This window comes from Homo sapiens, chromosome 1 (genome assembly GCF_000001405.40).
Source record: "Homo sapiens chromosome 1, GRCh38.p14 Primary Assembly".
NCBI lineage: Eukaryota > Metazoa > Chordata > Mammalia > Primates > Hominidae > Homo > Homo sapiens.
Window position 1 is genome coordinate 60,525,953 of NC_000001.11, and position 23,226 is coordinate 60,549,178.

The 23,226-nt window shown below is 38.5% G+C and overlaps 1 long non-coding RNA gene across 1 annotated transcript in view; it reads right to left on the reverse strand.

The window, feature by feature from the left end:
• The window catches only part of LINC01748 (long intergenic non-protein coding RNA 1748), a 106,970-nt gene that overhangs the window by 10,237 nt on the left and 73,507 nt on the right, over positions 1-23,226 (reverse strand). Inside the window, exons 5-7 of the long non-coding RNA NR_146508.1 lie at positions 16,345-16,459; positions 14,297-14,481; positions 2,967-3,297 (exon numbers count right to left, since the gene is read on the reverse strand). This is a non-coding gene — a long non-coding RNA (long intergenic non-protein coding RNA 1748). The remainder of the gene's footprint in view (positions 1-2,966; positions 3,298-14,296; positions 14,482-16,344; positions 16,460-23,226) is intronic.

Here is a 23,226-nt window from a genome sequence, read left to right on the forward strand (position 1 = left end):
AGTGCAGTGGCTCACGCATATAATCCCAAAACTGGGAGGCCGAGGTGGGTGGACCACCTGAGGTCAGGAGTTTGAGACCAGCCTGGCCAACATGGTGAAACCCCCTCTCTACTAAAAATACAAAAAGAAGCCTGTAATCCCAGCTACTTGGGAGGCTGAGGCAGGAGAATCTCTTGAACCCAGGAGGCTGAGGTTGCAGTGAGCTGAGATTGCGCCACTGCACTCCAGCCTGGGCAACAGAGCAAGACTCTGTCTCAAAAAATAAATAAAATAAAATAATAGCTTAGTTATTTTTTAGTATACCTCTCATCGTGGGGTCATCTGGTGGTTTCTTATGATTAGTTTCAGGTTATGCACTCTTGACAGAAATAACCAAGAAGTTATGTTGTGTTTTAAACATGCATGAGGTCAGGAGGGAAATGATATTATTTGTCCTATTCGTGTAGATATTAACTTTGATCATTGGTTAAGATGATGCCTGTAGGCCTCTCCAGTGTAAACATGTCATTTTTTTCATTTGTAATAAATATTTTTTTCATTTTATTTTATTTTATTGTTGAGACAGGATCACTCTCTGTAACCCAGGCTGGAGTGCAGTGGTGCAATCTCAGCTCACTGTGGCCTCAACTTGGGGCTCAAGCGATCCCTTCTACCTCAGCCTCCTGAGTAGCTGAGAATACATACACGCACTACCACACCTGGCTAATTTTTTTTTTAGAGATGCGGTCTCACTATGTTGTCCAGGCTGCCATTGAACTCTTAAGCTCAAGTAATCCTTCCACCTCGGCCTCCCAAAGTGCTAGAATTACAGGTGTGCACCACCATGCCCAGCCTAAGTAAGTATTTTTATGGAGCAAAACTTTTGGGGCTAGATAAATATCTTAGTCCCATTAATGTTTCACCCACTAGCTTTATTATCTATTTATAATTCTTCCTTTAAGCAATTAATACTGTGATGTTTGCAAATGATTTCTCTAATTTTATCATTCCTGCCTCATTTATTAGGTGGCCTTTTACTCCAAGGAAGAGCTTTTACTTCTTCCACATTTATGTATTTGTTTATTTGTTTATATCATTCTGTATATCTGTATGGAGTTCATGTTACAAGTTTCCTAACCCTCAGGAACCTCAGTTCCTCCTCTGTAAAATGGCAATGAAAATATTTACCATCTAGGTTTGCTGTGTAGATTAAATAAGCTAATATAGGTAAGGTCCTCCAAATCATGAGAATCACATAAATTGGAGCTACTTATATTAGTAATAATAATAATAATACTTGTCTGACTTTTAATATAGTGAGAACAGTTCAGGGTCATCTTCTGTCAGTACTTTATGAACTTGAACGACCCATTTAACCTCTCTTGCTCTCATTCTTCTCACCTATAAAACAAAAGAGTTGGGTTACATGATCTCTAAATTCAACTACAATTTTAATGTAAGAAACTAAGATTCTGTACCTATAAAATATGTGTGCATAAATTCATTTTTTCCAACACCCTGTGAAGTATTCTGTATTATCTTTGCAGTATGAATATCTTTCATAACTCTTAGTGTTCTTCTAAAATTTCAAAAGACATATAATAATTTATCTCTGAATAAACAGTTTGAGTGTTCCATTTAATACTTTATATTTTAATAATGTTAGTTGGTCACAGCTATTTTCCAACTAAGCAGATGACTTTGACAAAATGTGAAATAGCTAAAGACAGATGGTTTCCAGCTCCAACTGTTTGGGTTTATTTTCCAATGCCAGCAAGGTCAGTGATCCTTCAACTGAGTGTGGCCTTAGACCACATGATGGCTATGATTTGCATATTACAGAAAGAATAGTTCAAACACTTTAAATTTCATTCTAAAACATATGAGTCACATCATAAAATGTGACCAGTATAGCTTGGAAGTTTATTATAGGTAACCTTGAACATGTCTTTGCACATTGTTGAAATGAAGAGTATATTAATAGCCAGCAAATGGATTAATCTCAGTATTAAACACTTCCCAAAGGAGAGGGTGCTGAGGTAACAGAAAGAACCCTTGAATTCCTAGGCTTAAATCTTAGTTCTTACTAGTCCTATAAACTGAGGCAAATAAGTTTCTGTGTCTTTTTACATCAAACTGAAATAACATGTGGTATGGTTTGGATTTGTGTCTCTGCCCAAATCTCATGTCAAATTGTAATTCCCAGTGGTGGAGGTGACGCCTGGTTCGAGGTGACTGGATCATGGAGGTGTTTCTCATGAATGGTTTGACACCATCCCCTTGGTGATGGTCTCATGATAGCAAGTGGATTATCATGAAATCTGGTTGTTTAGAAGTGTGTAGCACCTCACCCCTCACTCTCTCTCTTGTTCCTGCTCCTGCCATGTAAGACATGCCTGCTCCCGCTTCACTTTCTGCCATGATTCTTAGTTTCCTGAGGCCTCCCCAGAAGCTGAGCAGATGCCAGAATCATCCTGTACATCCTACAGAACTGTGAGTCAATTAAACTTCTTTTCTTTATGAATTATTCAGTCTCAAGTATTTCTTTATAGAAATCCGAGAATGGACTAATACAACATGATGGATCTCATAGGGATGTTGTGAGAAGAAAATAAGTCCATTTTAATGAGATCACCTAGCATATAAAAGTTGCCTGTATAGTGTCCAATAAATATGGGGAGAATAAAACCAGGATAAACGAGGTCCAGAATGTATAGTATAGCAATCTTTTCTTTAGGATTTTTTTTCTAAACTGAACTTGGAATTAAATTTGGAAAGTTAAGAAGTACTATGTTCCAGGTTGAGCATCTGAAGACTCAAGAGAGTAACTGCCTTATGACATACCTAGTCCAAGTCCAGCAGCAAGGCTGGGTGTGTCATAATCACCTCAGTGGTACTCAGAGTCATAAATCTTGGGCCTCATGTTGAAAATTATGCATGAGTAAATCTATAGAAAAGTCCAAGTATCTGTATTTTTAAGCACTTACCAGATGAGTTTTGTGTTTCAGAATCCCTGTTCTAGGAGACTTAAGAACAGGCTGGGCATGGTGGCTCACTCCTATAATCCCAGAACTTTGGAAGGCCAAAGCGGGCAGATCATTTGAGGTCAGGAGTTCGAGACTAGCCTGGCCAACATGGTGAAACCCCATCTCTACTAAAAAAAATTAAAAAATTTGCCAGGCGTGGTGGTGCAGGCCTGTAGTCCCAGCTGCCAGGGAGGTCAAGGCAGAAGAATCATTTGAACCCGGGAGGCAGAGATTGCAGTGAGCTGAGGTCATACCACTGGACTCTAGCATGTGTGACAGAGCAAGACTCCATCTAAGAAAAGAAAAGAAAAGAAAAGAAAAAGAACAATGAAAAACATATCAAGTAAGCCACTAGATCATCAAGTGGTACCAAGATTGGGAGCGCCTTATCAGCTACCAGGAGCACACCACTGGTGCTGACTAATGGTCTTTAATACTTAAAATTATTTCGATGAGTTGCTTCACATGTCAGGTGCAGGCTCTAGTCTCAAACTCCCTGGGTTTTACCAAGACTTTACCATTTTCCAGCTATGTCATCTTTGATAGCTAGTTAATATAACATCTTTGTGTCTGTTTCCTCATCTCTAGAATGAAGATTGTTGTAAGGTTTAAATGAGATAATTTGTGTGCAGCACCTAATAAAATGCTGGCACAGACTGACAAACAAATGGATGCTAATTGTTTAATTATCCTGAAGTTCAAATGAAGACATTTTGAACAACTATGCCTTTATATATGCCATTTCCCATGTTTGGAAGCCTTTCCCACACTTTTCCGCTTAGTAGGCTCTTCCCTAGCATTCAAGATTTAAGATTCTATGTGGGAATGTCCTTCTCTGCTCTCTGTATGTCCAGCTCTGCCCAGTGAAATCCTCCCACGAAGCAAATCTTCTTGCTATGGGAAAAAAAATTCTGATCAATTGCCTGCCAAGTCCTAATTAATCTCCACCTTTCCTGCCCTCCATCACACAGTGTATGCATGCTATCTGAATTGACCTTAGATATGTAAGTCTTCCTTGTGGTAATGTCTACTTTCTTTGGGTGAGCTGTTGGTTTCTCACATCTTTAATTGTACATGTTGACGATGCCAAGACCTGTTTCTCAAACTCATACTATTCCCCTAAGCATAAGACCCATATAGCTATCAATCTTCTGAAAATACCCTTCTTTATGTCTTGTAAACACTCCAAATTCAACATTAATAAAATCAATTTACCTTTCAACTACATTTTTTCCTATATTCTCCTTTGTGCCACTTTGGAAAATAGTTTGGCAGTTCCCCAAAATGTTAAACATATAGTAACCATATGATCCAGCAATTACACTTCTAGATATACACCTAGAAGAAATGAAAGCATATGTCCACACAAATTCATAACATTATTATTTGGAATAGCCAAAAGGTGGAAACAAACCAAATGTTCACCGACTAATGAGTAGATAAACAAAATGTGGTATATTCATACACTAAGATAATATTCAGCCATGAAAAGGAATGACATACTGATACACGGTATAATGTGCATGAACCTTGAAAAAATCATGCTAAGTAAAAGAAGCTAGACACAAGTTATATTATTCCACTTATACTAAATTTCCAGAATATACTAATCCGTAGAGACAGAAATAGATTATTGGTTGCCAAGGGATAAAGGAAGGAGGGTATGGGAAATGACTTCTAATAAGTATGAGATTTATTTTGAGGATAATGAAAATAGTCTAAATAGATTCACAGCTCTGTGACTAAATTAACAACCACTGAATTTTACAGTGAGTTTTTTGGCATTTAAGTTATATCTCAATTTTTTTAAAAAAATGATTTCCTATGATTTCCATGTATGACATCATTACTCCATCACTATTGCATTCATTAACAGTTAAAATTTTGGCAACATTTTGGCTTCCTGTCTTCCTAACATGTAAGAACATTGTCAAATACTTATAGTTCTCTCTTCAAGTTGTCCCCCTGATCCATTACCTCCAAAAAAGGGATCATCTTAAATATAAGTATAGGGGAAGAAATTAATATTCCTCTGTACTTATATAAAGCTCTATCCTTCATTTATCAGTATCAAGACATCCCTATAATAATGAGAGAACAAAATAATTGATTTGCCCAAAGGTATATAACCAAGCTGGTTTGATACCCAAGACCTTTGGTTCTAAGTCCCACATTTATTTCACTGCATTACATTGTGCAATGTTACATGAACACATGTGCAATCACTAAAAGTATCAGCAACAGGGAGGACAATCCACTGCATCTAATCCTAAAGGAAGGAAGACAAAGATCAGAGAAATATGGGTAACCTCCCATTCAGAGCTGTTAAGAGGAGAGAGAACGAACATTACTTGAAGGTCCTCTGACTTCCCCCAGCTGGAGAAGTAGGAATTGTTCAAACACCAGTCAGTTGATAAGGAAAGAGCATCCCAGCTTTGCTAATCACTACCTAATAATCACATTTTCTGAATTTCAATGTTTGTTACACAAAGCTATTTTTATATAAATTAATCATCAAAATTCTAGATCAAAGCTGCTCAATCTGGAGCTATTTTGCCCCCCAGGGGACATTCATTAATGTCTGGAGATATTTTTGTCACAATTGGGTAGGGGTTTTTTGAGGGGAGAAGTGCCACTGGCAGATAGTCAGCAGAAGCCAAAGATACTGCTAAAAATCCTACAATGCGCACAACAGCTCCCCAAACAAAGAATTGCCTAATCCAAAACGTCAGTCGTGCTGAGGTTCAGAATCACTGTTCTAAATGCATTTTTCAGTTACTAATAATTGCAAGATGTATTCCCAACTGGCAGACCTCTGTTGTTTGATTGTAGAGGACTTCCACAAAAATAATCTGTGACCCCAAGAGCCTCAGGCTTTACTCAAAATAAAGAGTTCTTGTGGATTTAATTCAGTTGAATTTAAACTCTAATGTTTACCTACTGTGCTGGAAACACAAGGCTATGAACTATTGGGGATATATGCAAATAGTTATAACATGCTCCATACCCTTTGGAAACTTATAATTTATTAAATGTGGCAAGTTCCTAGAGAATGGGGACTATGTTTTCTTAGTACCTACATGATAGGTGTTTTACAAATATTTATTAAATGAGTAAGAAAAGCCTCTCAGTAATTTTTCAAAATCTTCCCCACTTTCATAGATGTCAATGCCCAACTGCACCATCTCATTTTTGTCAGACTGCTTTGCCTTTTACTTGGTAAAGAAAAATGGAGGTTACAGCATGGACCAACTGTAGCCTCTTCATCCCCTCATTTACTTCTGGACCCATATTTTCCTCCTTTCAAGTTTAAGAAAATTAGGTGCCTCTCATCCTACACAAGGCCAACTCTTTCACTGTTTTCATATCCCTCTCTCCTAACTCTATTATCTTCCAGATCTGACCCAGTCAGTAATCAATAATACCTACTTTGTGTAAAGTACATGATTCAGCAATCAAAATATAGTACATGTTCAATGATTATAGCTTTTATATTCCCTCTCCAGTCCAAATTTCTCCAGTCTGGAAATAAAATCTCCTTTTAATCTTGTATCCACCTGTATTGTTTTTCTTCTCTTTAAAGCTTACTTTCTTTGTGTCCCTACTTTCTTATTTCTCATTCATTTTACATTCTGAAATCTTATTCTGCCTCTCCCACTCACTGAAACTACTTGTGAAGAGGCCATTCATTGATGATCTTCATGATGCAAAATTCTTAGCTGATTCTTTGACTCCTGAAGCATGTGCCCTTTCCTACAAAAATGACTGTATATACCCACACAAACAAACTTTTCATAATATTTTCAAAGAATTCACTGAGACAACTATTGATCTAGTTTAAAAGCACTGTAGTTTACAGAATTTAGTCCTCACTGGAAAACTCTGTTGCATTTAACACTGTTTTATCTCCAATGGATGCCTGAGACAAAAGATGAGGAAACATTCTACAATTACTTCTTGAGCAACTATTCCATGCCAGATGTTGTACAGCATACTAAAAGAATAGAGGTAATAGAACAAGGTCCCCCTCTCAAAGGAACTCACAATATGTATTTTTGTGAAGAAGGAGTGAGTAGCTCTGAAATTTCAAACCTGAATGCTTGGGAAAGTGGTGATGCTATTCATTGAAAAAGAGAACCAAGGGAAAGGAGTGATTTAATAATTCAGGTGCTGAGTTTAGCCTTGGACATATTATGATTGAGGAGTAAATAAGATATCCAGATGGAGAAATTCAATATTATTCAGAAATTGGTGCGAGAAAGGGTGTTGGGAGAGAAAGGGTGGTGGTTAGTGCTGTCTGGTGCTCATAAGGAAGATTTGACCAGATAAGGTGAACCTAAGTCAAGGCTGAAACTAGATAAGATTCCAAAGTTCTCATTCTTTAGATAGCCTCCCAGAAAGAAATAAAAATTTGCGGTATTTTGGCAAGAAATTCAAAATATAAGCAGATTGTGAACAAAGCCATGGTCACTGGTGTTAGATGGATGTGATGTATCTAAACCTAAATGCATAAGATGCAATGTCTGAGACCTTGAATAAATATATAACCCCATTTAAGTGCTAATATCCTCACCTAGCATATCATATTGAGAATAAGTAGTCAAATAACACATATAGAAGACTTACTATAATATACAGTACATAGTAAGGAGTAATTAAATTATAATAATATCATTATTTTTAACTATTAGGATTTGATTTAATTAAATGTCCATTTATAATTTCTTGAAGACCTGGAAGCCAAATATGCAAAATTCTCCAAATATCAATATTTTTCTGATTGTTAGACACCATGTTCAGAAAAAAGAGCCAAAAAATCATATTTAATAAAGTATAATTTCCTGGCATCAATTCCTTGAATGTTCTGTACTTTCATCTATATATAGGATGATGATATTTCATGTCCATATTTATGAGCCTAATGCTCTAAGAGTTTCTCAGTTATTTTAAAAGCTGGTTGAAATTAATAAAGTGAGCCATTTATTCATTCAACAAACACTCATTGAATGCATTCTATATGACAAGCATTGTGACAGGTGTTGGGAATACAGGACAGAGAAGACTATGATGTCACAGAGCTCACAACCTAGTAAGGTTATAAATACCATCATTTTACTAATGTGTAATTAGCTTTGATAAGCATCATGGATAAAAAATATAGAGAGTTATGAAATCATGCAGTAAAGAATCTAATCCTTTTGGAGATTCAAAGAAAGTTTCCCTGGAGAAGTGATATTTGAGCTACAATCTGAAGATTCAGTTGGGTAAAAGGCACAAGGGAAAGAGTTTTCCAGGCAGGAGAACATAATACGTTAGGACACTACATAGGGAGGGTGCAGGATAACTTCGATAAAGAGAAAAAAGAGAAAATATGGCTCTACAACTTAGTAAATGTGCTGACACATGTGCCACTCAGATTCCTGTTCAAAAAGACTTTCTCCGAGAAGCATGGCTGACTGGCAGCATCCAGACAAAGCACTCTGGATCCAGCAAAGTGTTCATAGTGAGGCCAATCTTTTGCCAAGTTGCTCCCAGCCAATGACTGAGTGCAGCATGGATACTAGAGCCAGGTCATTACCACTTGACATGAGACATGCCTCTAACAGGCAATCTTTGTTTAGGGACTTCCCATCAGCCTAGCCAACATTTTCTCATAATTGTACTGTGGTGTGAGGCTTTTCCCATTTATCCTCCTTCCTTTCCTTTCTCTTCCTACAGCTTTCAAATCCATGTAGTGATCTGAAGGCCCCTGTTCACTTTCCCTTTATCATGCACACACTTTAGATCAAATCCACATGTATAATTCTAACTTTACAGTAGGCTACCTCTGGCCTAATTTAACTTTAAAAATTGGTGGCTCTGACATAATTAAGCCCATAATGGGTAGTTCCAGAGGCATGTTCTTTTGGTGCCTCAGAGACAAGCCTTATGTCTCTGCTAGGGCCCAGTAACACACAAGGAACTCTTTTTCAAAAGACATATCATTCTCCATTGCAGATGGCATAGCCTTGCTCCAGAACCACACAGGGCTCTGCTGTGATTCTGTCAATGGGGCTTACCATAATAAATTCCATACAACATCTTTTTCCACCACTGATACTCCCAGTAACATAGGGTCTGCAAAAGCAGCAGGGTTGCTTGCACTACAGCTGAATCTGCTACCATTTTCCAAGGCCATCAATAATTCATTAGTGAGAGGGGTACCAACATCACTCCTCTGTAGGCCGGGGCTGACCGGTAGAAAAGAAATCTCAAAGCTGGGCTCCTTAGTAACCCGGGGCATGATGGAGTCCCTATGACTTGTGGTGACAATATTGAAACACCAGAAACCAGACCTACTGTGACCTGGGGATTCCCTTTGACTAGGGTTTGTTCCTAGGTCCATAATGGTGAAATCATCAAACTTACGGCATTTAATTCTCTATTGAAGATGGATGTCTTGTGCCAGGAACTATCTGTCCCCCACATTCCACTCAGGATGGCGTCCTCATTGCCAGCCAGTTAATGAGTGAGCCAGTCCCCAAATCTCTGTTTTCTCAGACCACTCTGGATGTCACCTGGTTTTCCTTTTAGAGCCTCAGAGAAGCAGACCACAAAATGGGATTCCATGCACAAAAAAATTTACTGGGGAAATGTGTAGCTACATAACAGTCAAATCCAGGAGTGGACTCAAAAGACACCACAAAGAGAAGATCATCACTAAGCTATGCGCAGTGAACCTCTTCATCCATAATATGTGGAAGGAAAAGTAGCCTGGAGTGACAATATTCAGAGTTTCTTGGGCAACAGTTATTAGTTAATTACCTGGCCAGATTGTAGACACCTGGATGTAAAAGCCTGCAAGATTAGAGACATGGCAATCTGGAATAGGGGCATGTGGATGGACAGAGAGCCATAGGGGAAGTGAGAGAACATGAAGTAACAAAAGTTTTGTTTTACACATGAACGTACATGAGAAAGCACCTACCATGGGAAAGACACTGAAGAATGAAGTAGACACAATGAGTCAGCAAGTTGACATAAGCCAGCTTCATCATTAGCCACCCCAAAACCGGTGTGATGAACACATAAATGGAGAAGCCACAGAGGCAGAAATGTAGAAATCCATGCACAGGCCAAACAGCATGGATGTTCTCTTACCAAGGCTGGTTAAACTTCTGTTGAGTCTGAATGTCCAACGCATCCAGCCATTTCATAGCAAGTTGGCCATGTTGAGTCTCTTCCATCCTAGATGGCAAGCTACTCTATGGGTTGGTTTCCCTGCTTACAGAGATTTAGCCAGTACCACAATCTGGGGACACAGGGGATGTCTGATTCACAAGCATGGAGTATCAGACAGCATAGCATCTGACAAAGGAGCCACCTCACAGTGAAAGAGATACAGGACTGGACCCATGACTACGAGATTCACCGGTTGGTTAGGAACAAAAAGTAACTATAACACTTTTAAGTACTTTTTTATATTAATGTCCACAGCATTTCCACCCAACAAAACAAAATTCAGCAAGTTTATGTGGCTTTCTAACAATAATCACCTTCCAGTTTCCAATAACATGTTCCTCATTTCCATGTGAGTTTTCACCAGAAGCACCTGTAACATTCATATTTTCACAAATAATCTCTTCAAAGCAATAAAGGCTTCAAAATTCTTCAAACCTCTACTCATTACCCAATTCTGAATTCCAAAGCCACTCCCACATTCTCAGGTACTTGTTACAGCAGCACCTCACTTTCCAGTACAAAACTCTGTATTGGTTTCCTAGGCAACAAAGTACAAAAATATAGGTGGTTTAAAACAACAGAAATGTATTGTCTCACAGTTCTGGGTGCCAGAAGTGCAAAAACAAATTGTCAGCAGGACCATGCAATCATTCCTTCTCTCTTCTAGTTTCTATTGCTTGCAGGCAATCCTTGGTATTCCTCAACTTGTAGGTATATTGCTCCAGTGGTACGGCTATCATCTCCCTGTGTGTCTTCACATTGTCTTTCCTGTGTATCTGTCTCTGTGTCCAAGCTTCCAAATTTTATAAGGATATCAGTAATACTCGATTTTAAGGACACCAGTCATATTGGATTAGAAGAACATCAGTCATACTGGATTAGGGCCCACTGTAATGACCTCACTTTAACTTTAACTCCTCTGTAAAGATTATATCCCCAAATAAGGTTACATTGTTAGTCTAACTGGGAAATAGTATCTCAACGTCTGAATCTAAAGGTACAGCACTGTGGAACTCAATTCAACCCCTAACACTATGTGAAAGACATTATTAGTTTTTTGGGCCACAATTAATGTCCAGTCCTATTTGAACATATGGTTTCCCTAGAAGGCCACAAGTTGAAAATTACTAAACTTCATCCAATGTCCTTCATTTTACAAATGGAGGAAATGAAACAAAAAACGAAACCCAAAACCTTTCATTTGAAATCCAGCCCAGTTGTGACCCTACTTCACTCCCTTGCTTACTCAATTTAAACAGAAGAGACTCCATTCGAGGTCTGTTCTTCAAGTAATTAGAAAACTCAGGTAATAAAATGCAGCATCTCTATGAACTGTAAAAGTCTTTTATTGTATACAAATATTTTTAATCAACTAAATGGAAAAAAATAGTGTTGTAGAATTATATCAGTTACGTTAGGTAAGCTATTATGTAGTAATATAAGACACTAAAATTGTATTGGCTTGCAACATCAAAGATATATTTCTCACTCACATTACATACCTGTCATGGGTCAGCTCTGTCTTTAGTCTAGTACTTTTATCTAGTCTTTTTATCTTTAGTCTAGTACTCAGAGTGAGGAGCAACCCCTTTCTGAGGTATGCAGTTTTCCTGGAAGAAAAGGAAAGGAGGCTCAGATATACAGCATCTACCTAAGACTAGACTAGCAAAATAAAAAAAAAAAAAACACCGCCATCAGCCTAACATGCAACAAGTAGCAAGCAATGGCAATATACCATTGAGGGAGGTGAAAAGGCATACTGAACGAACACATGGCACACAGCGTAGGGAAACCTTAAATGTGAGATTAAAGTAAGTACACTGAGAAAAACACTTCAGCACCACAACTCTCACCCTAAGCTCAAGGCATGTTAGATGAAAGCTTACAGTGCATTGAAGTAATCATAGCAATGAAACCTAAGCCCCATTCAACTCCTAACCAGATTTTCTCAAACCTCCACATTATTTGCCTAAAGGATAAAATGTGCATTCATTTCCAGGAGTAAATAGTATTTACTCAAGTTTCTACTGTTCTGGATGAGATAGCTGACATTTAAGATAAAATTACAAAGACACAAAATGCAAGTGAAATTGACCCATTGTCACGAGAAAAAAAATTTAACAATACAAAAATAAGAAATAACCAAAATATTGGGCTTTAAAATAATTATGGTTGATATGTTCAAGAATTTAGTGGAAAAGGTAGAAAACATATGAGCACTAGTGGGAAATTTTAGCAGACAAATAACAATGGGAGAAATATAAAAGGACTTCATCTGAGATGAAGAATTCCATTGTCAGGCTCATCATTAATTTTACACAGCCAATAAAATAATCAGTGAATTTGAAGATAAGACAATTAGAAATTTAGAAATTACCCGAATGGAAAGGAAAATATTTTTTAAGTGAAAACAAATAAATAAAGGAAATGAACAGAAAAATAGAACAGAGTATGTAAAAGCTATGTGACAATATTAAATGGTCTAACATATGTGTAACTGGAGCCCAAAAAGGAGGAGAGAGAGAGGCAGAAAGAAAAAGCTTTGAAAGAATAGCATCCAAGAATTTTGCAAAATATAACAAAAGACATCAAACCACAAATCTAAGGACCTCAGAGGACCTTGAGCAGGATAAATACTACATGTTATACTCCATTTGGCTTATTATCTCAAGAACCTTGTAAAGTAGGCAAAGTGAATATTCATATTTTATAGGTGAGGAAGGATTAAGTAGGTTTCATCCACATTCACATAGTTGGCCTCAAGGCAGAACTCTGAAAACTTCTAGGGACTTCTTTGCCCCATTTCCTTCTTTTCCTTTCCTTGAATTTTTTTTGCTGCCTCTCCCATGTACTTGCTGGGAAGTCTTGGACTTATCACTTAAATTTCACTTCTTTTTTTTTTTAAAGGACTCTATTAGTACAGGATTGATTCCTGAAAATATATTTAAAGAACCAGGACAGAACTTGGGGAATAATTCTGCACTCTACAATCCCCATGACTTTGGGGTGTGGGCACCATCTGTGAATCTGCTTTCTTTCTGAGTTATGGGCAAGATATAAGCATGGGTTTCTTCTACTCCTAGATTCCATATTTACCAGAGAATTCTATGGTTCCTGTTCCTTATAATGGCTGGAGGAGAAAGAGGAATAGGGCAGGCCTTATTTGGTGATTAACTTTTGTACATTATATTCTCCAACTGTTCTTTTTTTCCCCTAGCTTGGAAAATTATATTTGTCTAGGATATTTGTTTATTAGAGGTGATTATGCGGGAGGAGGTTTGGAGCAAATTTTTCCTTGTCTCATACTCTAACGTCTTCCAAGTATTTCTCTGTTACACCTAAGCTGTTTTTTTAAAATATAAAAATTATAATTTGATTTTTTAATTTTTAATCTTCATTTCCTCCAGTGACAGCCTACCTTTGCAGCAATACTGGTTTCTTATTTCTGAGTCTAAATGGAAAAATGTCACAGAGTAAAACAGATGTGCACAGGAAAAGGGAGAAATAAAAGCACACCAGTTTATTATATTGCATACTATCAACATTGTCATTATTGTCAATATTATTGAATCATAATTAGTTTAATAAACATTTCTTTATTGTTCCTAAAAGCAACCTATGCACATTGTATCCATAAAAGCCAAGTAAAGCATGCTGTGGACACTCTGGCAATCATCTAGCCACCTCCTAAATTATTTATGACATAGCTCCTGTATCCTTTCAGCTCCTAGCTCCTGGCCCTTAGCTTGAGGGCTTCAGGTATCCCTGAATTTTGGTTTCCCTGCCTGGGTTCAGAATACTTACCGCTGAACTATTGACTCTTCCCTTCCTGACTCTTTCAACTAAAAGTCACTACCCTTTTTTTGCCCCCAGGGACGCAAGCCTCAGCACAGATCCTGCCCAGCTGACACACAGACTATTTTCAAGGTTGGGTGATAAAAACATTGTAAGGGAATAAAGAATCAATGGCTCCAGCCAAAGTTTCTCCCGCTCTTTTTGTCTCTTTCTTTCTGTCTGAAAGAAAAAAAAGATGTGCTCCAAAGTATGCAAACATTTATTGTGAAACATACTTCCCCTTTCTGTATAAAACGATGTAAATACATCCGCTAACATATGGGTCCATGTGTTCCTTCACTAAGGTGTGATGAGACTCGGCGCGGCATATCCACCAGGTGATGGGAGCCTGCCGCGGTGCGGGCGCAAGTGTTGCTGTCTCCTGAAGCAGGTGCACGGAAGCCCATGTGAGCAGAAGGCCCTGTGAAGGAAAAGTGTGGTTACTCAGACCCACAGCTTTAACACGGGAGTATAAGGTTCCAAGTTAACTCTGTTTATTTAGCACCTTCTGTTTGAACTTACAGGGCTTTAGATCTTATTAAGTCCTAAAAAATCACCTTACAGAATAAAAATTATAGCCACATCAGCTGAGAGCTGAGGATGCAGAGATTAGGTGAACTTTCTACAGTAGTGATTCTCAAATTTTAACACCTTAAGAATCACTCAGAAGGCTGTAAAATGCAGATTAAATAGAAGAAATAAGCTCCCAGTACAGTAGGAATGATTTAGTTAATAATTTATTGCATATTTCAAAAGAGCTTGAAGAGAACATTTGTAATGTTTCCAACACAAAGAAAAGTTACATGTTTGGAGTGAAGGATATTCCAATTACCCTTATTTGATCACTACACACTGTATACAGGTATCAAAATATCACATGTACCCAAAAAAAGTATGACTATTATATATTGATAAAAATAAATAAATTTTAAAAATACACAAACTCCTGGGTATGACATGGCTCTCCCCCAACCCACGCCGAGTTTCTAATTCAGTAGTTCTGGAGTGGGGCTGTACAATTTGCATTTCAAACATGTTCCTAGTTGATACCGATGCTGCTGGTCCAAGAACCACACTTTGAAAAACACTTCTTTAACACACAATGCACATGACTGAGGTCAAAAACCCTGATAAACTAAAGTCAGAAACACCAGACAGCAGCACTCTAAAAGGTACTATTAATCAAAACCAGAAAAGAAAAGAAAGTCATCATGCTTGGGAAGAGGGACAGGGAAGAAAACTGGATACCAGGCCCATCAGACTGGAGCAGTGCTGTCAATGTTTACTTTCAAATGCTACCCTCTTAACTGCTTTACTCTTTTGTCATATAGTAAACTTAGATAACACGAAAAGATAGGACTTCCAAACAGAAATATTCTGTGTGTGTGTGTGTGTGTGTGTGTGTGTGTGTGTGTGTGTGTGTGTTAATAGGAATAGGTGAGACTCCTTACAGCTCATTGATTCATTGATTGAAGTTCTTCTAAGCATGGGCACCCCATTGGCTATGGGAGAAGCGGGAATGGACTAAAGGTACTGCTCTTGACTTTGGAGATCTCATATTCTAGCAAATGTGTCCACCCTAAATCAGATCATGACACATGCCAGACACAGAGAGAGGATGGTTTAATTAATGCTAATTTGAAAGAGGTGGTGTCAGAAGAGGCTCCATGGAGGAGGTGACATTTAAATGGATCTAGAAGGATGAGCAGGGATTTAACTGGCAGGGACATTTGAAGAATAGCATTTGTCTACTATGTGAAAAGAAAAATAGTTTTCTTTTCCAAGGAAGGAATAATTTTTCATCTCAGAATCATTTTCATCCATATTGAAAGAAACCTATTATTTAATGTCAGTAGGCTTCCAAAATGAAGGTAAAATATAGAATAGAGAGTAGTTGGAATAAATACATTTCACAAAGGCAAAATATCTCCCTGAGTAGAAAGCTTTTTTTTTTTTAATCCTTATCTCTTTCCTGCTGACATGCCTCAAGGGAGCGTTTTATTTAAAATTGTTGAATTTCCTGAATTCCACTGTGTGTTTCAGCAAACTTCTTAGAGTCAGAGTGTGAAACAAAGAAAATTTGTACTACCAAAACACCCTTAACATTCCACAGGCAGCTTATTGGTTGGAAGAATTAGCTATAGGTGTTAATAATAGTAAAATACAGTAATCATAATATGCATTGCTTTATAATTTCCACTAATAGATTTGTATTATGCTGCTTGGGCTGGTATAACAAAATACTGTAGCAGAGTGGCTTAGACAATAGAAATTTACTTCTCACAGTTTTGGAGGCTGGAAGTCCAAGATCAACATGCTGGCAGGGTTGGTATCTGGTGAGACCTTTCTTCCTGGCTTGCAGGTGGCTGCCTTCTCACTGTCCTTATGTGGCCTTTGCGCTGTGTGCACACAGAGAGAGGAATCCCTGAGAGCTCTTCTTTTTCTTGTAAGGACACCAGTCCTATCAGACTAAGGCCCCATATTAATGACCTAATTTTAACCTCAATTACCCCTTACACACCATATCTCCAAATACAGTCACATCAGGGGTTAGAGCTCAACACAAAAATTTGGGGGGGACATAATTCAGTCCACAATAATGCTGTAAGTTTCTCAAGGTTAGCTTATTTTATTTGTCCCCTGTACTTCCTAATCCATTTCCTCATACACAGTAGGCCATTTGACTTGAATGGACTCACATTTACTCCCACAGTGAATTATCCTAGCAGCACCATGAGTTGGGCAGGGGAGCTATTATTATCACCCCAAATTTACACATGAACAATCATGGATCACAGTAAGTATATAGTATACGCCAAGCACTTGTTCAAAGCTCTGCATAAATTGACTATCATTATTCTTCTTTCATTAATGAGGAAATTGAAGCCCAGAGAGGTTAAATAATTGCCCAAGATGACATTTATTAAATGGCAAAGCCAGTATTCAAACCCTGGCAGGCCAGCTCCAGACCCCACAATTTTAGCCATGACGCTATGCATCCTCTCCTGATGGCCACCAAAGTCCTGTGGCTTACCAAAGCTTTCTTATTTGGTGGCTGTATTAGTGCCCTAGGGCTGCCATAACAAGTTACCACAAACTTGGTGGCTTAAAACAATGGAGATTTATTCTCTCCCAGCGATGCAAGCCAGAAGTCCAAAATCAAAGGACTGGCAGGGCCCCATAGCTTCCATCCCTGGTCTCTTTAGCTTCTGGTGGCTCCAGGGAGCTCTTGGCTTGTAGCAGCATCACTCCGACGTCTACCTCCGTTCATACATGGCCTTATCCTGTCTCTGGGACTCTCTTCTGTGTAACTTATGTAAGAATAATTGTCATTGGATTTAGAGCCCACCTAGATAACCCAGGATAATCTCACCTGAAGATTTTTACCTTAATTACATCCACATAGTACTTTTTTTCCAAATAAGGTCACATTCACAAGTTCTGAAAGCAGAATGTGGACATACCTTTTGAGATACCACCATCGAGCCCACTACTGCACAAATAGCAACCTATAATCCAGGAAATGGAGTAATATCAATACATCCTCTGCCTGGCATTTTTTCCTAGAATCTTATCCTCTTTCCCCCTTCCCAGACTCATCCACATGGGTACTCTGGTTCCCATCATGTAAAACATGCCCAACCCTTAGTTATGAGTAGTTGACTCATGGTGCATACTAACTCAAACTTATCTAAGATGTACCTTCCCTAAGAAGTTTCAGCTTGAGACAAAGAGAGAAATGGGACAAAAGCAGGTTTTTTTATTTGGTTGGTTGGTTGCTTTGTTGTTCTTGGAAGCCATGTTTACCAGCAGGGCTGGGCTAGGTTGAGCTGAGACAAGCAAGGGACCTAGGGTACCAAACTTAGGGATTGGCACATGCAAGGCACTGAGAGTGACAGCCTCATTAAATTTGAGGCCTAAGGTGTCTTACTTGCCTCATTCTAATCCTCCTGACCTTGTTTCTTGGCATGAGCAGCAGAGGATTACAGGAGACCCTGGTGGCAGAGGCAGGGGGACAGAGATATGAAAGAGAGAGAGAACTGGTGGTATTCTAGCCACTGGTTCTAGTTTTCTTGAAGTTTAGTAAGATCTCTGTTATTTGGTTCTATTACCTGCTTCAGTATCCATATTAATATATTCTTTTTTCTAGTATTATTAATATTATTATCATGATTAGTTTAAACTTGTTTGAGTTGGTTTTCTATCATTTGCAACCAAAAGAATTCCAAACTAAAGTCTAGGTGTTTTAACCCCTTATCCTTACTTTCCCATTATTTCCTAATATGAGGAGACTGAAGCAAAGAGAGAAAGATGATTTCCATGAAGCCATAGCACCTATGAAAGTGCAAACCCTGGTCTCTGCATGACAACCTCCACGTGGTTAAGAAGGTTCTCTCAAAGACATGAAACTGGCTCCTCCTTGCTTTGGTTTTTCATAAAATTTGTATATTTTGTCCTTTCAGTGTGTAGACAGGTAGAAACTTTAATTGGTGATTTAAGAAAATCTGTATGAGCATCAGTGATCATACTACGCACTTGGGTGCTAATGAAATATATTTGGCCATTTTACCATGCACGAAGTGGGCCAGAATGCTGTGTTTTTATTATTCTACTGTGGCTGTTCATGGATTTTCTTCTTTTCTCATCCGTAGCTTTGAATATACCTGCTGCTTCTAATATGCCATTTTTAATGTTTTAGAAAAATCAAAGGGTAAATAAATTAGCATAGACCAATTAACACTTCATTTTTAAGCTTATAACCAAAACGATATAAATCCCCTCTGGAAACTGTTGATCTCACTCTGACCTCAAACACGTCTTCCTTGTATCAGAGACAGAAAAGAAAATGCTCTAAATAGAGCCACCATAAAATCATCTTCCAATACAATGCCTTCTCCTCTTCCTTCTACAAAATAGAACCTTTCGTAGAAAGATAAAAGGAATTATAGAATGTATTCAATAAGGTCAATTTTCTTCTGTCTCATTTCCTGGTTTTCTTATATGGGACATGGTTTTATTTCTGTCTATGAGCACCATCCCCTTTGAAGTTATCATCATGGACCACATAACGACGTTTCCCTCAATGACAGACCACATATACTACAGTGGTCCCAGAAGATTGTAGTACTATATTTTTATTTTTACTGTACCTTTTCTATTTTTAGATATGTTTAGATACATAACTATTACCATTGTGTTACAATTGCCTACAATATTCAGTACAGTAACGTGCTGTACAGGTTTGTAGCCTAGGGCAACAGGCTGTGCCATAGCCTAGGTTTGTGTTAAGTACACTAGATGATGTTCCCACAACATCAAAATTGCCCAGATGTATTTGTCAGAGCCTACCCACTTCATTACATGATGCATGACTGTAATAGCAATAACTGCCATTTGCTGAGTACCTCGTCTATCACAGGAATTTTACAGTCTCTCTCATTTAACCCTCACAAGCCTCTTATTTAAAAATTAACAGCCCCTTTTTATAATGAGAACTACTCCGGTTTAAGGAGGGTAAGTAGGTTGCTCAATGCCGCAGACCTAGAGAATATTAAAGCCAGGATGTAGGACCCAGCGCCTGCATTCTTTCCATGGTACCAGGCAGGGTCAGAGTGTGTCTGCCCTTTGCAAGCATTTACCTTTTCTCCAAGGGAAAGAATAAAGGAAGTCTTGGGATCTGCTGTGTTCCTGGGCAGTTCACATTGACTGGTCATCTACCTGAATTTATTTCAGAGTAGCCAAGTAATCTATTCTACTCCAACACAGCTGAGAGTATCTTCCCTGCTCCAAAACCAAGCCCAGCACCAGGTTGGTTGACTTCTGCCTGATATACATTAAGTTGATAAATTTTTCCCTGTCTCTTTTCCTGTTGCAGTCCTTAGTGCATTTTTCTTCATTTGCTAAACGTTTAATGTTCTCTTTTTCATTTTCAAACTCTTTCCCATACAGCTAGTATCTCTTTATTTCCCCTGGGCTGTTTTATTTCCCTACATTGTTCATCATATGTGATAATATTAACAATCTGTAACGGGGCTTCAGAAGACTAGCTTCTCACTTTGGCCCTTTCCAGACTGATGCGACTATGGGCAAGTCACTTTCACTCACTGAGCTTTATTGCCCTTGTTTGTTAAATGGAAAATTGCATTTTAGAGTCTCTAAGATCCTTGCCAGCTGATCCGTCTGCCAGTTTCACTACACGGTGATCTGCAAAACCCTCTCTGTTGTGAATAAATAAGACACCACCACGCCACCTCCTTCATTACTCTCTTTCCCAAAAGAAAAGTCTCCCACAGGCTGTCTTCCAAAGGTAAGAGGAGGAATTAACTTATTCTTCATACTCCTGGATGCCTTCCACATCATCATTTGACACTCATTTATTTAACTAACAATTACTGACACCTAACAGGTCAAGCCCAATGACTCTGTGTTGGCACCTAGAGATTCAGATGAGAAAAGTGCAAACCCTATCATCAGAGACACAAACTGGCACATAAGAGAAACACAGAGAGGAGAAAATCTCTCATCATGGCAGGTGCTGGCACTAAGAACATTCTTCCAGAAGTGTTTATAGTGAAGCTAAGTCTCAAAAGCTGATTAGTGAGGTGTTTAAGTGCCCAGACTCTGCAGTCAGACAGATCTAAGATCAATGTCACCTCAAATAATCACTAGCTATATGACCTTGAACAAGTTACTTGACCTTTCTATGCCTCACTTTTCTTCATCTGTAAAATGAAAATCAAATTACTAAATTCTTAGGATTTTGGAGAAGAGTAATATTTATTAACTAAAAACATAAAGTATATACTACTATGCTAAATCCCAAGAATGTTGTAGTAAGAAACACATTATAAATGTATATAATGATATTCAGTCATACATCATATAATGACATTTTGGTCAACAATGACTGCATATACAAAAGTAGTCCCATAAGATTATAATACGGTATTTTTAGTGTACCTTTCCTATGTTTAGATAGGTTTAATACACAAATACTTACCACTGTGTTACAACTGCCTGCAGTGTTCAGTATAGTAACATGCTGTACAGATTTGTAACCTAAGGGCAATAGACTATGTCATATAGTCTAGGTATATAGTGGGGTATATATACCATCTAGGTTTGTGTAAGTACACTCTATGACAGGGGTGTCCAGTCTTTTGGCTTCCCTGGGCACACTGGAAGAAGAAGAATTGTCTTGGGCCACACATAAAATACACTAACACTAATAATAGCTGATAAGCTAAAGAAAATCACAAAAAAACTCACAATGTTTTAGGAAAGTTTACAAATTTGTGTTAGGCCACATTTAAAGCTGTCCTGCTGCATGTGGCCTACAAACCGCAGGTTGGACAAACTTGATCTATGATATGTTCGCACAATGATTAAATGGCCTAATGATGCATTTCTCAGAGCATAGCCCCATCATTAAGCAACATATGAATACATACACAGACACACACATTCTCAAATGTGTGTGTGTGTGTGTGTGTGTGTGTGTGTATAGTCTCAAAAAGTTCCAGGTACGATTATAAACACTTTGTGTGTCTTAATTCATTTAATACTCACTGTGACCCTATGATTTAAGTACTATTATTATTATTCCCATTTTAGAGATGAAGAAACAGGCACAAGAAGAATAAGTGATTACTCCAAGCTGCCAGAGCCTGAATTCTGACCAAGACCGTCTGTCTCTGGAGTCTATTCTCTCAACTACTGTGCCTCCTGCCTCTACTAACCTAACCACAACCCTCTGCCACCTTGATACAGTCCTGTGAGCTCTGAAGTGCAGTAAGCCCTTGTGGAGCTGTCAGTATAGCGGAGAAACACAATCAAACAAAACAGTAATCATGAACCGTGAAATCACTTCCCGGGCTTCTGGGCTCCTGGACTGGTTTAGGACCCAGGCCTGTCCAGTTAGATTACTACATCCTATAGAGATTGGTTCAGCGATCTGCACATGACCTAAACTGACCCTAGAATTGTTGCTAGAATGAATGGGAAAGGAGAGTTCTTTTCAGTAGAGTTGGCTGGAGCTGCTAGTGCCAGGGCCAGCTTGAGCCTGAAGCCAACAGAGAAACAGGAAGAGCCATGAGACCAGGAGAAACAGATCCCTGGCAAGAACCACTCCTGCATCCTGAGCCACTCAAAGCTCTGTTTGTTTAAGCCATTTTGGTTAGGTTTCTGTCACTTTCACATGACTCCTAACACACTCCGGAAAGTATATGTAATTCACTTTACACAGTACCACTAACCACCTGGTAGCTATGTGTACAGCCGTTTTTAAAGAACAAGTAAGAGTTAATCAAATATAGAAGCAAAAATTGTTCTCGGTAGAGGAACATGAATGTGCAATAGCACAGAGGTACAAGAGATCATTGCTTATTAAAGGAGAGTGAATTCCAGAGTAATGCAGCTGTAACATCCAGACCTCATCTTATTATTGTCTTCAACTGACCTCCAGATAATTCACCTTTAATGAGAACTTCAGTAACTGGCCAGGAATTTCCCTCTTCATTTCTTTCCACACCCTGGAAAATTTTAAGCATCTACGCAGATATATTCTAATTTGCTATTTCTCCTTCATTTATAGTGAATTGGCTGAAACTGCCAGATTACTGATCTCAAGGCATTGGGTCTTTGAGATCAGCAATAACACCATGTTTCTGTAAGTCTTACTAAGCATCTTTACCAGGCTGGTCTAGTGCATCCTAGGACTCAGCCCTTCCTGATCAACCTGTCCTTCTGCATGTAAACTATTATGATGTTTATTTCATGGTAAAGAAATAGAGTCTCAGCAAGGTGATGTAGTTGACTTGAAATTGCAGTTTGGCTGTGGTGGTGCTGGGACCTGTCCCACTCCCAAGCCTATGCTTTTTGCATTATGTGGCCTTGGTTAACACTTTGGTCCTCACTGAAACATGAGATTTGGCCATAATACTATCATCCATTGCCATTGTATGATTTTCCAGAGTTCCTTTGTATACATCCTCAAACTCTTATAAAGGCTTATGGGACTGTGCCTTAATTCCACATTGAAGACAGTACAGTATCCCCACCAGTTGCCCACTGGGAGAGATGTCAATGAGAGAAAACGTGCAACAATCGGCCAAACTTCCCTTGTCAATCCCTGGCTGATTGTACTGGGGCCTCTTTGTTGGAGTCA